General features: G+C 53.9%; 1 protein-coding gene across 4 annotated transcripts in view, besides 4 other annotated features; it reads right to left on the bottom strand.

Annotated features, from left to right (window-relative positions):
* Positions 1418-1627: an enhancer, noted in NCBI's record as "active region_9740". NCBI's record gives its function as "activates an Ori minimal core promoter by ATAC-STARR-seq in GM12878 lymphoblastoid cells {active_cell/tissue: GM12878}" and the evidence as "EXISTENCE:reporter gene assay evidence [ECO:0000049][PMID:35858748]".
* Positions 2078-13509, bottom strand: part of PML (PML nuclear body scaffold) — a 53112-nt gene continuing 41680 nt past the window's right edge. For 3 of the 4 annotated variants that reach the window (NM_002675.4, NM_033249.3, NM_033246.3), the window contains one exon: positions 6567-6916. In NM_002675.4, coding sequence (NP_002666.1) covers positions 6725-6916 — 192 coding nt within the window. In that variant the 3' untranslated portion in view covers positions 6567-6724. Of the gene's footprint in view, positions 5685-6566; positions 6917-13509 lie in introns of those variants that run through there. The other variant, NM_033238.3, reaches the window with a different exon arrangement.
* Positions 3351-3542: a silencer, noted in NCBI's record as "fragment chr15:74338704-74338895 (GRCh37/hg19 assembly coordinates)". NCBI's record gives its function as "represses an EF-1alpha promoter that drives an FKBP-Casp9 reporter gene in an ReSE screen in HepG2 liver carcinoma cells {active_cell/tissue: HepG2}" and the evidence as "EXISTENCE:reporter gene assay evidence [ECO:0000049][PMID:32094911]".
* Positions 8097-8669: an enhancer, noted in NCBI's record as "H3K27ac-H3K4me1 hESC enhancer chr15:74333577-74334149 (GRCh37/hg19 assembly coordinates)". NCBI's record gives its function as "activates a minimal SCP1, AML or CMV promoter by ChIP-STARR-seq in primed H9 embryonic stem cells {active_cell/tissue: H9 hESC(primed)}" and the evidence as "EXISTENCE:reporter gene assay evidence [ECO:0000049][PMID:30033119]".
* Positions 11933-12814: an enhancer, noted in NCBI's record as "H3K27ac-H3K4me1 hESC enhancer chr15:74329432-74330313 (GRCh37/hg19 assembly coordinates)". NCBI's record gives its function as "activates a minimal SCP1, AML or CMV promoter by ChIP-STARR-seq in naive H9 embryonic stem cells {active_cell/tissue: H9 hESC(naive)}" and the evidence as "EXISTENCE:reporter gene assay evidence [ECO:0000049][PMID:30033119]".

Genomic DNA, 13509 nt, shown 5'->3' with positions numbered 1-13509 from the left:
ACTTGTGGCCTGAAGAGTGACTTTAACTCCATTTCTAACTAAATTCCTAACTCACCCCAATTCTAACTCAATTCCTAATTCCTAAGGTTTATTCTCAACCTTAAGCACCAAATGTGCCCCTCCATCTGATCTAATCCCAAATCCTAACCTGGGGCCTCCCCTGAACTTTAGCTCTAACCCTCACCCCGATTCTAAGCCCACCCCATCCTTACCCCAGTTCTAACTTGGGCCCTATCCTTAGCTGTGGAGCTCACCCTAAGTCCACTGGTAACCCAGTATTTCCCCAAATTAACAGGCCATTCACTTCCACAGTCATAAGTTTTCCTCTACCTGTGTCCCTTCCGAGTGTGGAGTTACTTACTATTTGTCCTAAGTGGATCTTTAAAGAATTCCACTTCAGCATCATTCTGAGCAACTAGATCCCAGAAATCACAATTTTTTTTTTTTTTTGAGATGGTGTCTCACTCTGTTGCCCAGGCTGGAGTGCAGTGGCACAATCTCAGCTCACTGCAGCCTCTGCCTCCCGGGTTCAAACAATTCTCCTGCCTCAGCCTCCCGAGTAGCTGGGCCTACAGGTGCACACCACCACACCCGGTTAATTTTTTGTATTTTTAGTAGAGAGAGGGTTTCACTGTGTTAGCCAGGATGATCTTGATCTCCTGACCTCATGATCCACCTGCCTTGGCCTCCCAAAGTGCTGGGATTACAGGCGTGAGCCATCACACCTGGCCAGAAATCAGACTTTCGATGAGCTGGTTGTATTGTTTCTTTTTTTCTTTTTCCTTTTTTTTTTTTTTTTTTTTTGAGACGGAATTTCACTCTTGTCATCTAGGCTGGAGTGCAGTGGCACAATCGCGGCTCACTGCAACCTCCTCTTCCCAGGTTCAAGCAATTCTCCTGCTTCAGAGCTTCCCGAATAGCTGGGATTGCAGGCACGGGCCACCACACCCAGCAAATTTTTGTATTTTTAGTAGAGACAGGTTTCACCATGTTGGCCAGGCTGGTCTCGAACTCCTGACCTCAAGTGAACCACCCGCGTCGGCCTCCCAAAGTGAGTGCTGGGATTACAGGTGTGAGCCACCGCGCATGGCCTGGTTGTATTGTTTCTAACAGATGTTAAACTAAATATAAAAGGTTTAACATTTTAAAAAAATGTTTCTCCACGTGCCTCGTATCTACAGTTATCTCCCATACCACAGGAAGCACGCATAGCACTTTAGAAAGGACTGAGCTGCCTGAGCTTAAACCACCAGCACCACCAGCACTACCGTGGCCCATGCCCGTTGCCAGGCACCGGGTGGCGGGGGGGGGGGGGGGGAGGGGGGGTGCGCTGCAGCGCCCTCTGCTGGCAGAGTCCGGGAGCAGCCCTAGCTCAGCTCCCCTTCTCGCCAGGCAGGGTTCCCTGTGTCCTACCCCCTTTGACTTGACATTTGGTGCATTCCAGCCCGGGTGGTATGCACACTAGCCATGGAGTTTCCTTAATTGTGAGGAGTGAGGAAAGATGAGAAGGGAGCCCCTTACTCTAGGCTTAGGTGCTGGAGGCACCTGGGGTGTGAGGCGGAGACAAGGCTGAGGTCAGAGGAGGAGATGGGGCCTGCTGGCAGGGCTAGGCTGAGGGTGAGACTCTGAGGCATGGAGAGTGGTCAGGGTTGGGGCCAGGAGTCAGAGTGAGGCTGGGATAGGGAGAATGGTGGACATGGGCAGGGAGAAGGGTGGACATGGGCCAGGACAAGGGGAAGTAGAGGGTGGGAAAACAGCCTGACCAGGCTCTGTGACAGCTGCTGGAGCTAAGAGCCAGGTTGGGGTTAGGGGCAAAGCAGATTTTTAAATGACTTCAGGCCTCAGAAGGAGACCCTGGAGCAGGGCTTCGCTGAGCTGCCACATAGAAAGCTTGTTGTCTACTCCGGGCCCCAGTGAGTGAAATGTCCCATCTGGGTGTGCTGGGAGCACAGTGCCACCTCCTGTCCAGCCCCTCCATGGTTGACCCCTTGATCTTGGCTCCTTCAGACCCCAGGACCCCCACAATTGTTTGTTCATCCCAGATCTTGTTCTTTACTACCCTGAAGACAAGCCCATGTTTTTTTGTTTTTTTCTAAGATCTAAAATGTGTTTATTTTCCTATAATTCATAAAGCACTTTATAAAGCAGTAAGATCTTAAATTTGTGCACTTTTAAAATATACCAAAAAGCTATCTTCACACACATTTTCTCATTGGTTCCCACAAAGATCCCTTGAAGTCAAAAGGAGCCGCATTCTCCCATTTGCCAGAGGTGCAGCCTGAGGATCAAGGAGGGAGGTTAATGTGCCAAAGAGGGCCACAGACTACTAAGTGAGGATTGAAACTCAGTGTCCTGACTTCTAACCCAGTAAGCTCCCATTAGTTGACACGTAAACACCTGAGATATAGTCCAAAGATGAAGCACAGGTGACATATTGGGACTGGATCTTCTTGGTCAAAGGATCAAGCTGAGAGAATAAAACTCCAGGACTGGAATCTGGGCATCTGGGATGGTAGTTGGGGTCAAGGGTGGTGGCACTGATCAATTCCCATTACCTGGCTGCTCACCCACGCCAGTGGTGGACTAATTCCTATAATGCTTGTGCCAGGGGAATCCCTCGGGTACTAACTGAAGCTCCACCTGTGATGGCCAAGACAACACATTCATCACCTGTTACCAAAGTCCTGGGCCTCCCACACCTCCCTTTTTAAGGGTTTTACCACCTGTCACTCAAGGAACACAGAGAGAAGTACAGGATTAGCCAGTGAAGGGCAGTGGCAAAGTTCCTGCAGACTCTGGTCTCTAGTTCCTGACTTTCTCTAGGAAGTAATTCTTGAAATCGGTGCTTCTTTCCTGCCACATGGCACTCCCATTTGGAGATGATCCAAAGGAAAGCCTACCCTGGGTCTCCCCACTTGTCATGTGGGGGGATTCACATGCTTAAGGCTCACAGCATTGAGCAACAAAGGGCTCTCAGCTCTGCTAAGTCCTAAAAGACGCCCCACAAAACACAGTTGTGCTGGGCAAGTGGCCACAAGCCTATGCCTGGGAGAGCCCCCTCCTATCCAGGCAAAAGGCTTCTCAGTGGTTCCTCTGGGGATGCTGAGCAGAGTCTGTGATTGGAGCATCAGGCTTTCAAGATTCACATCTTTATTAAAGGCTGTGACAGTGGAGGCAGGGCAGAACACCCCTCAATCACATCTGAAAACAGCACACATGGTGGGGCTGGAAATCAGTGGGCCCAGTCTCCCTTCCTCCTTCCATCTGCATCAATCTGTTTCCATCGGTGCTTCAGAACCAGCGCCTGTTTTAACAGTCTGGCATCAGAATCTTATTTTAAATGCATCAAAATTCACTGTGAGAGCCAGCACTCCGGTCGTGGGAACAAGACCCTACGGAATTCCTCAGTGGGTCTTCAGGGGCCCCATGGGATGGGGCTGCAGTATGGGTACACAGACTTCACCAGTGTGAAAGCTGAGGTCATCAGCCATGGAGGCTAGAGGCCTGGGCTGCTTGGGAAGCATCCCAGGAGCAGGGAGCTAATGAGTAGGGATGGGAAGGAGGGAGGAGGAGGAAGGGGCTGTCGTTCTGCTAATCAGAGCGGACAACCCTGACCTGCCTCTGTTCTGCTGTTGACCTCTGATGTGACCACAAGGTTGGGGACTAACAGTTTGGAATGGGAGCTAGAATTCAAGGATGAGAAGTCTTCCTGTCCACTGCCTCAGAGGCCTGCTTTCCATTCCTAAAAATGCAGGATGGCACAGCCAGATGGCCGCTCTGACCGTGGAGGCCAATCAGCCCATTTTACAGATGGGGACACTAGAGCTTAGGAAGGGACCTGTTCCTAGGCCACACTCACTGCACAGTCAGAGATAGGGACGGGACTTTCTCTGCTGTTCCACACTGCTTCCCCTTGGAGGAGCAGTCTATGAGAGCAGCGGTTCTCAAACTTGAGCATGCACCAGCATCACCGGGAGAACCTGTTAAAACACAGACTGCTGGGCCCCACCCTGAAGATTCTGATTCCAGAGGCCTGTGGTAGAGCCCACAGGTCTGCATTTCTAAGAAGCTCCCAGGGGATGCTGATGCCGCAGGTCCTGGACTACATGCTGAGTAGTGCTGGGCACTCCTTGGGACGGCTGAGGGTGAGGGCAGTGCAGGAAGAGCCAAGGGCCATGCTGTGAGGGGTCTGGTGGCCTGAGGACCAAAGAGCAAAGCTGTGGCCAAGCAGAGGTGTCTGTGCAGCCAGGAGGAAGGAAGCAAGCTTTGGAAGGTCAGGCTTTGGAAGCAGGGACATGCATGGAACATCAGTTTCTGTCTTTGCTGATGAGGCCCCTCTGGGATGAAAGGAGAAGGGAACAGAGTTGGCCTCTGGGCAGGTGGAGGGTGGGGGACCCTAACCTCATGAGGGGCAGTTTGGTTTGGAAGGCACTTTGAGTTGCCATGGGCTGCCAGGGCTGTAGCCAGCATCACCTCAGACTGTTCTGTGTGGGAGCTGTCAGCAGGTGTCCAGGGGCAGGGGCTGGGGTCAGGGCAGAGCTGTAAGGACACCCAAGGTAGTGGCAGGTGGGATGGATGGGGCAAGACCAGGGCCACCTAGAGAGCCCAGAGGTCATGCCTTCCTCACTCAGGACCTCCCTGGTTCTAGCTCCTGGAAGGAGGGGCTAATAGGAGTCTGGTGCACACCTAGGGTGATGGGTGCTCAGCTTTGGAACCTTCTCTGTAGGATGTTTAGAGAAGGGAAATTTGGTCCCAGAGAAAGGGAACTGATTCTGAACCAAATGACAACTGAGGGCTGGGTACCAGGACCTGGGAATGCTGTGATGGGTGGGGCCTGGCTCAGGGACCCCATCCCTCTCTGCCCACCAGAGACTCCAAGCTGGTCACCCCCTCCTCTCAGCTCTGCTGGGAGGCCCTCTCTGCCAAGCCACGGCCAGCAAGTGGGGTGGAGACTCCTTCTGCCCGTGCCAGCGCCGGACCCTCCAACAGGCCTTCAAAGTAGGTGCCCAGAGCCTGCAGGTTGAAAGCAGGCTGGGCAGGGGGCAACGTGGTGGTCTGCAGGCTTAGATAGCGGCTGTACTTCTTCAGGCCCCCCTGCCGGTCACGGCGGTGTGCACTCAGCAGCTCCATGAAGCTCACGTTGTGTAGGGCCAGGAGGCGGGCCTCAGCCCGGGGCAGCACAGCTGCCTGCACCAGGGGCTGCAGGGAGGCAAAGCACTGCAGGCTACTGAAGGGGTAGACATGCTGGGCCAGCTGGGGGCCCGGGGAGACCTCGAGGAGGCGGCACAGGTCACGCATGGCCAGCACGGCAGCCATGGCGCTGCGCTCGCTCATGTTTCTCGCCAGGTAGGTCTGGGCCAGGTTCTTGAGTTTGAAGCTGCTGGCCCCGGGCACACGCTCCCGGATGAGAGGCAGGGCAGCCAGGAAGCCCGAGATGGCCTCCTGGAATTCCCACAGCCTGTTAATGTCCTCCAGGGCCCGGAAGAAGTTTGGGAGGCCAGGCCCCCACAGCTTGTAGCAGGCCAAGATAGGGCGGCGCATGGAGCTCAGAAAGCTGAGGAAGTGCTGCAGCCCCACCTCCAGGGACACGGCCTTGGAGTAGATGCTGAAGAAGGCTTCAGGCTGGATGACCACGCGGAACTTGCTTTCCCGGTTCACCGCAGCCAGCTGGCTAATCTTCTGGGCTGGGCAGGAGAGAAGGGCAGGGTGAGGACCCAGGGTCACAGAGAGCTCTGGGGTGGGAGCAGGGGGTCCTCTAGGGCTGCTGACTCACCATCTAGAGACCTCACCTTGGGGTCTGCTGGCAGTAGCCACACATCAGCCCCCAAATGCAGCTCTGATCCTGGTTGTGGTGGGATAGCAGTCAGAAGGGGAGGCTCGGCTGCCCTCCAAACACTTTGTTCACCAGCTGGGGATCCAGCTCTCCCCTCCTCCACTACCGGCCCCAGAGTTGGCCAAACCCCATGGATACAGGTCCCTCCTGTCTTCTATCAGCCTCAGCCACCTATACTAGAGATCCCAGGCTGCTTGAACTTAGCTCTCCATCCCATGCTCCTTCCTCCAATCCCCTCAAGGACCCCAGCCCAGTCAGAGCCCTGGGACATAGAAAGCACTCCACTCAGAGCAAGGCCAAGAGCCTCCCACTGAGGTCTGCAAATGACTTTTCTGTACCATGAAAACACTTGCTGTTTCTGTCTGGCTGGGCTAGCCCCAATGTTGAGTCCATGCCACAGGGTAGGGCCTGGGGCTCTGGCTCAAGGAGGGGCATTTGCAGAGCCAGGGCAAGCACTGGAGGAAGTAGAGGGGCTTCCAGGATAAGGGGTCTGATCCCTCTGTGACCTTGGATCTGTGGGCAGCCCTGTGCAGCCACCTGTGGGATTGGCCCTCTACTCAGAAACGTGTAGCACAGCCAGAGGCCTTACTTGGATGACAGGGCTCACGGCAATGAGCTCACGCATTGTGTTTCTGTCTAGGAGTGTGTTCCCCAGGCTCTCTGTCTGAGAGAAGAACTGGTCAGAGGTGCACTTGTGGAGGCATCTGCCTCTCTCGCACACTCAGGCACTGGATAAGGCGGACATCTTTATTCAAGCCAGCAAATGACACGCCAGGAGCCCAGGTGAGCCGGAGTGCTCTGCCCAGCCTGGCTGCAGTTGTTGGCCAGAGCTCAGAGCTCTCCTGGGCCTGGCAGATGGCTCTGCCTGCACTTCTTTTTGGGACTCAGAGACTAAATTAGAAAGGGGTGGGGGTAGCCCCAGGAGAACCCACTTTCATTGTCAATCTTGAGGTCAAAGAAAACCAGAGGTCTGTCTTCTGCTTGGGGGTCAGCAAGGTTCTCGTCCAGGACCCTGAGGGTGCTGGGGCCTTCCAGCTGGAGGTCACTGGACTCACTGCTGCTGTCATCCAGCTCTCGGGAGGACTGCAACACAGAAAAACCAAGCGTCAGGGATTCAGAGGGCCAAGGCAAGCACCTGTGCAGAACACTAGCAAGCTGGTATAGCTGGGAGCATCTGCGTGCACATGAAGGAGGGTGTACCACTGGGAAAGGGGACGTGTGCACAAGAGAAGGTATGTGTGCATGAATGGGTGTGAACTGGGTGTGTCACATGTGAGGGTTACATGTATGAACCAGGGCATACACCCTCATGAGTAGGGGAGGAAGGGTGACACACACAGGTTGTGAACGTGCATGTGTGGGAATGAATCCAAGTGCTAAATCTGTGTGTGCATGCACAGTTAAGTGTGAGCTGTGAACCTGCGTTGACACAAGTGTATGAAAGTGTGAGAGAAAATGCCAGTGGGTGTGTGCATGAGTGTGCTGTGCTGCTTATGGAGGCTCAGGGAAGGAGCCATCTGCTATGGCAGGCAGGACCTGAGATGTCTGCTCCTAATTTCATCTTTCTGAGCAGACTCAGAAGAAACACCAAAACTTGGGACGGGAGAAAGAAGCCTCATCTTGAACCCCAGATGATTCTTTGGAAGGGGTCGGGAGCCTGCCTTTTCTTGTCCCCGAAGTCAGCCGAGGTGCCAGTGTCCTACACAAAGGCGAGGGGAAGGACTGCTTGGCCTCCTGAAGGCCACATCTAGGTGGACACCCAGGTCCTTGGCAGTGAGAGAGCAGTGGAGGCTCTTGGCATCTGCCCCAGCAGCTTAGAGAAACCTGAGTTTTGGGAGTCCTTCAGGTGAGGCGTTCTCTCCTGTCCCAAGGTCCTGGTGGGAACACTGTTCGAGAAGCCATGGGGTGGGGAGCCAGAGGATGAGGGAAGGGCTCCAGCTCTGAGATTTTCCCAAGGGACTGGGACTACAGAGGGAGGTGGAGCCTCTGATGGTAATACAGAGTTAATTGCTTATCATCTGCTCAGCTGCCAAGCCCAGATGTTTAGTCTTTGATGACCAACTTGGAACCTCCCATGAATGCCACCTGTGGACGTTAGCCAGAGACCAGCAAGGAAGAGACATGGACAGGATCACAGGGCCAATTGGGAGCATGGCTGGGACAGAGTCCAGGGCAGGCCTTGGGTTTTTCCTCTTTATGGACTGCCGCTGGCTTCTCAATGAAGTTGGTGTCACCTGGTGCTAAAGCCTCAGTTAATTCTGGCCTCTGGCTAATGTCCCTGGCCTAGGAGGCAGCACATTTCCCCAGACCCTTCCAATGCCCAAGTGAAACATCTGCTTCCAACCAAGCTTCAACTGAGAGAAAAAGCGTTTCCACCCACAAGTAACCTAAGATGTGGTGGGTTTTTGTAGGAGTGGCTGGATTTCACTGGATTTGCATTTCACAGCCCTGCTCCAGGCTCATCAGCTTTCTGCCAGTTATTGTCAGAAGCAGACACTCACTATGAATCCATCTAGAGCTGGCTTTGCCTCTTCATATCCAGGGATCTAGTCAGAGAGTCTGCCCAGCGCCTCGCATCTCCAGATCCTCATTCAGCCACGCTGTCAAAAGCTGATTTCACACGTCTTGCTCCGGGTGAGCCCACACTGCTGTCTCGCCTTTCCAACTCGGTTTCCTCCCTGTAAGGAGCCTTCTACAAGGCGTCTTCCTAGCTTGTAGCTGGGTGGCTGGAGACTCCACCTTCTCCCGCTTTGGGAGAATCCAGTTGTTTCCTCTCTCCAGGCTTCACTGGGCAGCAGCGCTCTCCCACAAGCTGGTGGAGGGGCTGGGCTCCCCTTCTGGGTCCTCCCTGGTTCAGATCCTTGGTGCCAATAGCTGAGGCTGAGTCCATGCTGCCACCCACTGACATGGCACACAGGACTTTCTCTTTTTCGTTCTTCTTCCTGCTCCAAACCCAACTGGAAATGCCCCTTTGTGTTCCTGAGTGCCTCCACAAAGCTCGGGGCAATGTCCTCGGCCTTAGAACCAGTCTTCCCGCCTTCAGATCTGCTCTTCCAAGAGGAGAGCTCCCTGGAGAGCCACAGTACTGTCTCTTTAGGCCACCCCTCCCATCGTTACAGCAGGGTCATTTATGGCAGCCACTAGAACCTCGTTTTTAGAGCCTTCCATTGTCCCGGGGCCAGGGAAATGTCCTTTGTCCTAAACTTACTCGAGCTGCCTTCTCTAAGAAACCTCTACTGTCTCCTTTAATAAAAGGACACCCCCTTTCCACCAAGCTTGTTAATGGAGGAGAGGCTGGACCTTTCAGCCCTGACTCACTTCCTCCAAAATTCCTCTTGCCCTTGGGGACTTCCATAAAGTATGGCCACCCATGGAGCTGGTCTCACTGGAACTCCAGCCAGCTGTAAACCCAGAATTCTCCCCTGCTCCGCCTTAAACTCCAGCATCACAGCTGGGGAGTGCTGACGCATTTAAACAAGACTTTCTGAAAGACTCAGGTTTGCCAGCAGGGCCATCAGACATAGTGGCCTGGTGCAGAACATACTCCCCTCCCTGCTCACTAGGGGAGACTCTCCCATTCTGCCCCCAGGCCCCACACCTTGGCCTTATTCCGCAAATTAGGATAACTGGGTGTCGGGGGAGCATAGAGAGGGACAGTCACTGGAAAAGACTTAGATTTGCTTGGAAGAGAAAAGGAAGGGGGACAGAAGAAAGAAGATGGGAAACAGAGCCTTGAGCCTGCGTGTGAGGACCGGGAATCAAGGGGGAAAGCTTTGCTATGCAGTGAGAGATGCCAGGCGCCAAAGAAAAGGGGAAGAAGGACTGAAGAAGTGCTGCTGGGGTTATGAGCTGGATTCCCTTTAATGTTCTTTCAAAAGATGCAAGTAAATACTGGGATTTATTTCTTTATTATACTTGGTTAATGGACATTGTTTCTTTGAATGCAAAACTGTGTTCAGGCTGAGCCTCGTGAGAGCCAGGATTTTTTCAGGATATACATGCAACTTGGATACACCTGCAATCTGGCTCATGAGCTACATCCATCTCACTCCCCTTCCTCATAGATTTCACGGCCTGAGCAGGTCAAGTGCATTCTAACTCAACACAGCAGGTCTAACAGTCGTCCCAAGCATGCTCAGAGGAAGTGGCTGGATTGGCATTGTAATCACACTCCAAAAGTCCAGGAGGTACATCAGGGAAGATCCAGCCTCTCCCCTCCTCTGCGGTATTACACCCTGGTATGAAAATGTCACCTGCATTCAAGACTGCCACATCTATAAACAAATGAGCAGCATTCCTCTACCACAGACATGCAATGAATCCCCCGATTCAGTGGTTCTTGACTTTGGTTAGGCATTCATAGCTTTAAGAAAAAACTGAGGCCCAGGCTGCACCCAAGACTGATTCGATTAGAATCTCAGGGCGTAGGACCTAGGAATCTGTAGTTGGGAAAACTCCCCAGTGTACAGCCAGCTTGAGAACAATTGTCCTTATCACTGATTCATTCCAGGTTTGCTCATCAGCCAAACACAAGCCAAACTCTGATAGTCAGCATCCAGCCTCTGGAAGATACAGAACATCTGACATTCATGCTTATCAAGAGCCCTCAAGCTCCTGAAGAACTTTCTGAGCACTTAAGCATCAGCTACAGCTGGGATCAGTTTGGCAAGACACATGCATTGCTATCTTTCTGCAGACACAAAACCCCAGCTCTTGCAAAGCCTCAAAGACCCCAGGAATACTGCACATGTTATGAGTGAACTGGACCATAAACTCGGCCAGCCTGTGGCCTCTGCTGCCCTTCTGCCTAGCTCCAGCCTCTTGGCCAGCACCTCCGTTTCATTTTCTCAGATGCACACTCACCAGTGCCACGGCCCCTCCCCTGGATCAGCCATTCCCCACAGGCCTCCCTTCCTCCGCCGTCACCACTGCCACTTCTGCCACAGGCTGCCCCCTCACCTTGGCCCCCTCCTGTTGCTGCTGCCACCAAGGCACCGGAGCCAGTAATCTGTCACAAGAGTGGGTGAAAACACCTATCTTTTCCACTTTGGATCCTAAAGCAGGGGCCCCAGGGCAGGCGCACTGCTGACCCACTCTGGCAGTTTTTAAGCAAAGTCCTCACCCCAGGTACTCCACAACCAGGCCTGGGGGACTCACTGCTCCACCCCATGACTATGCCCTGCTGCCTCTCGCTCCTTCTTGCACAAACAGTCTCTCACTGAATCCCTAGGACACAGGTGAAGCTCAAGGGAGGGGTTCCTAAATGCCCTGATACACTTGGAAAGTAGTAATGTAGCAGACCAGTATTCTGCAACTTTCCTCACTGCAAAGCTGGATATAAGCTGCAGAGCTGGGGAGGATGGGTTAGGTGGGAGCCGGGATCACCTTGGGAATATCACCCCACCCCCTCCAAGCTGGGGAGTAGGAATTTGCAGTGGTGGTGCTGGGTGTACTCTGGGGGCACCAGGGGTCTGGAAAGGGCCCAGAAGTTGGGTGAGAAATGCATAGGGGGGACCTAATTTGTTGGGGTTTTAAAATATATATTTTCTAAAGTTTGGGACTCCTATAACAATTTTTAAAACCTGTGTCTTAAAGCTACATACACAAAAGCAGCGGTCCTCTGGCTCTCTCCCCACGTCTCTAGGCCTGCTCTCTAATGTGAGCTCCTAGGTATTTAATTCATCATCACCTGAAATGTGCTTTTACCCCCTCCCTTAATTCACTGTATAGCCCCTAATGACTCCTTGCTGATAGCTGAGCATTACATACTCCCCGCCCCACCCCCAATATTGCTGGGGTCCCTCTACTTGATTCTCCATGACATCTGGGGACACTGTTGGCACTCCAAACCTGTTCTCCACCTTTCCTTCCCAGGCTTCTGCCTCTACCCAGGGTCAGTGGTAGCTTTAATTTTACCAAGATTATGGGATGGAAAGAAGTGCCCAGATTTCAGAGGAATTTACACCCTAGAAAGACAAGACTCAATAACTGGTTGGATGTGAGGAATAATCAAAAGGGGGGTGCCCTGGGTGGCTATGGGGTCTTGGCTTGTGCAACCGGGCAGAGAGTGGGGCGAGCCAGTGAGACGGGAGGAGAAGGTGCTGAGTTTGAGGTACCTATGGGCATCCATGCGGAGCTGTTGGAAGGTCACTGGCCATGCTGGTCTGGCAGGCAGGTGCGAGTGTTGGGTATCAGCTACCCCTGGGCAGTAACTGAAGTCAGGGGCGTGGCTGAGAGCACCTGGGAGAATACACAGACTGAAAAGAGGAAAGGGCCCAGCAGCAAACCTGCAGGAGCACCACAACCAAGAAAAAACAGAGCCTGCAGAGGAGAGGGAGGAGTGCCCAGAGCTGCATCCGAGCAGGCGATCTTTCCAGGAAAGACCGGGCCCAGCGCCGGTCAAGAATAATAACGACTAAACGCGACACTGCACCTAGAGGCACAGAGGCCACCCTGGTACTGGCGGGGAAGCGCAGGAGGTGGGGTGAAGAAGGGGCAAGGAGGGGGCTGAAGTGTAAACAAGGAGAGCAGAGGAAGGGGAGCCGACAGCTGGAGAGAGAAGTGGGTGGAGTTTTCTGAGATGAGAAAGACCTCATTCAGGGTGTTTAGTTCAGAAGGCAGTGGATACATTAGAAGATGCAAGAGAGATGAGGAGGAGGAGTGAGGCTCCCAGGGGGTCAAGGGCTGGGGCCAGGACACAGGGTGAGTCCTGGAGGCAGGTGGACATCCCTTCCACCCTAACGAGGGCAGGGAAGGGGTGCGATGGGGATCTGTAAATAGCAAGATGTCAACTGTCCCTATGCCATTGGAGAGCTCCTGTTTTCTCCCTGGAGCAGAAGGTGCCGCCATCAGCTGAGGGTGAGGCTGGGACAAGGGCCCAGTGAAGAAAGGCAGGCGGGGGCTGCCCTGCAGAGCAAAAGGACATGCTGGGCGGAGCACCAAGGAGCCCTTAGCAGTCACAGGCAACCACTCATAGTTTTCCCAGGCCTTTCTCCTGCAGATCTCGGTCTCCAGGTGGCAGCACAGAGGCGACAAGCTCCTGAGTCCTTCCAGGATTTTCTGCTGGGCAGGGAGCTGCAATTCTGATGAAAGATGGGATGAAATGGGGAGTGCGCGGGGCTGGAGGGAGGCGAAGGTAGGACTGAGAGCTCAAGGAACAGGAGGCTGCGGTCAGAGTCTGAGAGGACCGGCTGAGGGACCGACAGTGCTCGGTGATGGCAAGGTGCAGGGCACGGCCACGGGGCAGGCAGCTGTCTGGGGGAATGGGGTGACAACCCCTGAGAGGTTAAGGAGTGGCGGGCAGGTGGGTGGAAATAGAAGTCACTCAGGAGGAAGGCAGGACCTGAGCAGGGAGAAGAAATCTGGGAGGTGAATGCTCACGTCTGCCCTCAATGAGGGTGGGCAGGTGGGTGTCTGGGATGAGCTGGGGAGCATGGGGCCCACCCTGAGAGGGACAGAGGATCTTACCAGACGGCCAGGAAGGGGCTGGAACAGTCCAGGAAGCAGGGGGCCTTGACCCTACCTCCCACCTCTGATGCCCATGAGTGTGGGAGGAAGAGGGGACATGGTATCCCCAGAGGAGAACTGAGTTCCAGCATAGGGAAGAGAGAACAGCCTGCAGGGAGGAGCTGGATCCATCGGAGAACGCGATGGTCGTGGAATAAGGGTTCGCAAGG

Source organism: Homo sapiens, chromosome 15 (genome assembly GCF_000001405.40).
Source record: "Homo sapiens chromosome 15, GRCh38.p14 Primary Assembly".
Classification (NCBI taxonomy): Eukaryota; Metazoa; Chordata; class Mammalia; order Primates; family Hominidae; genus Homo; species Homo sapiens.
Note: the sequence above shows the minus strand (reverse complement) of the source record. Positions and strands in the feature narration are given on the sequence as shown.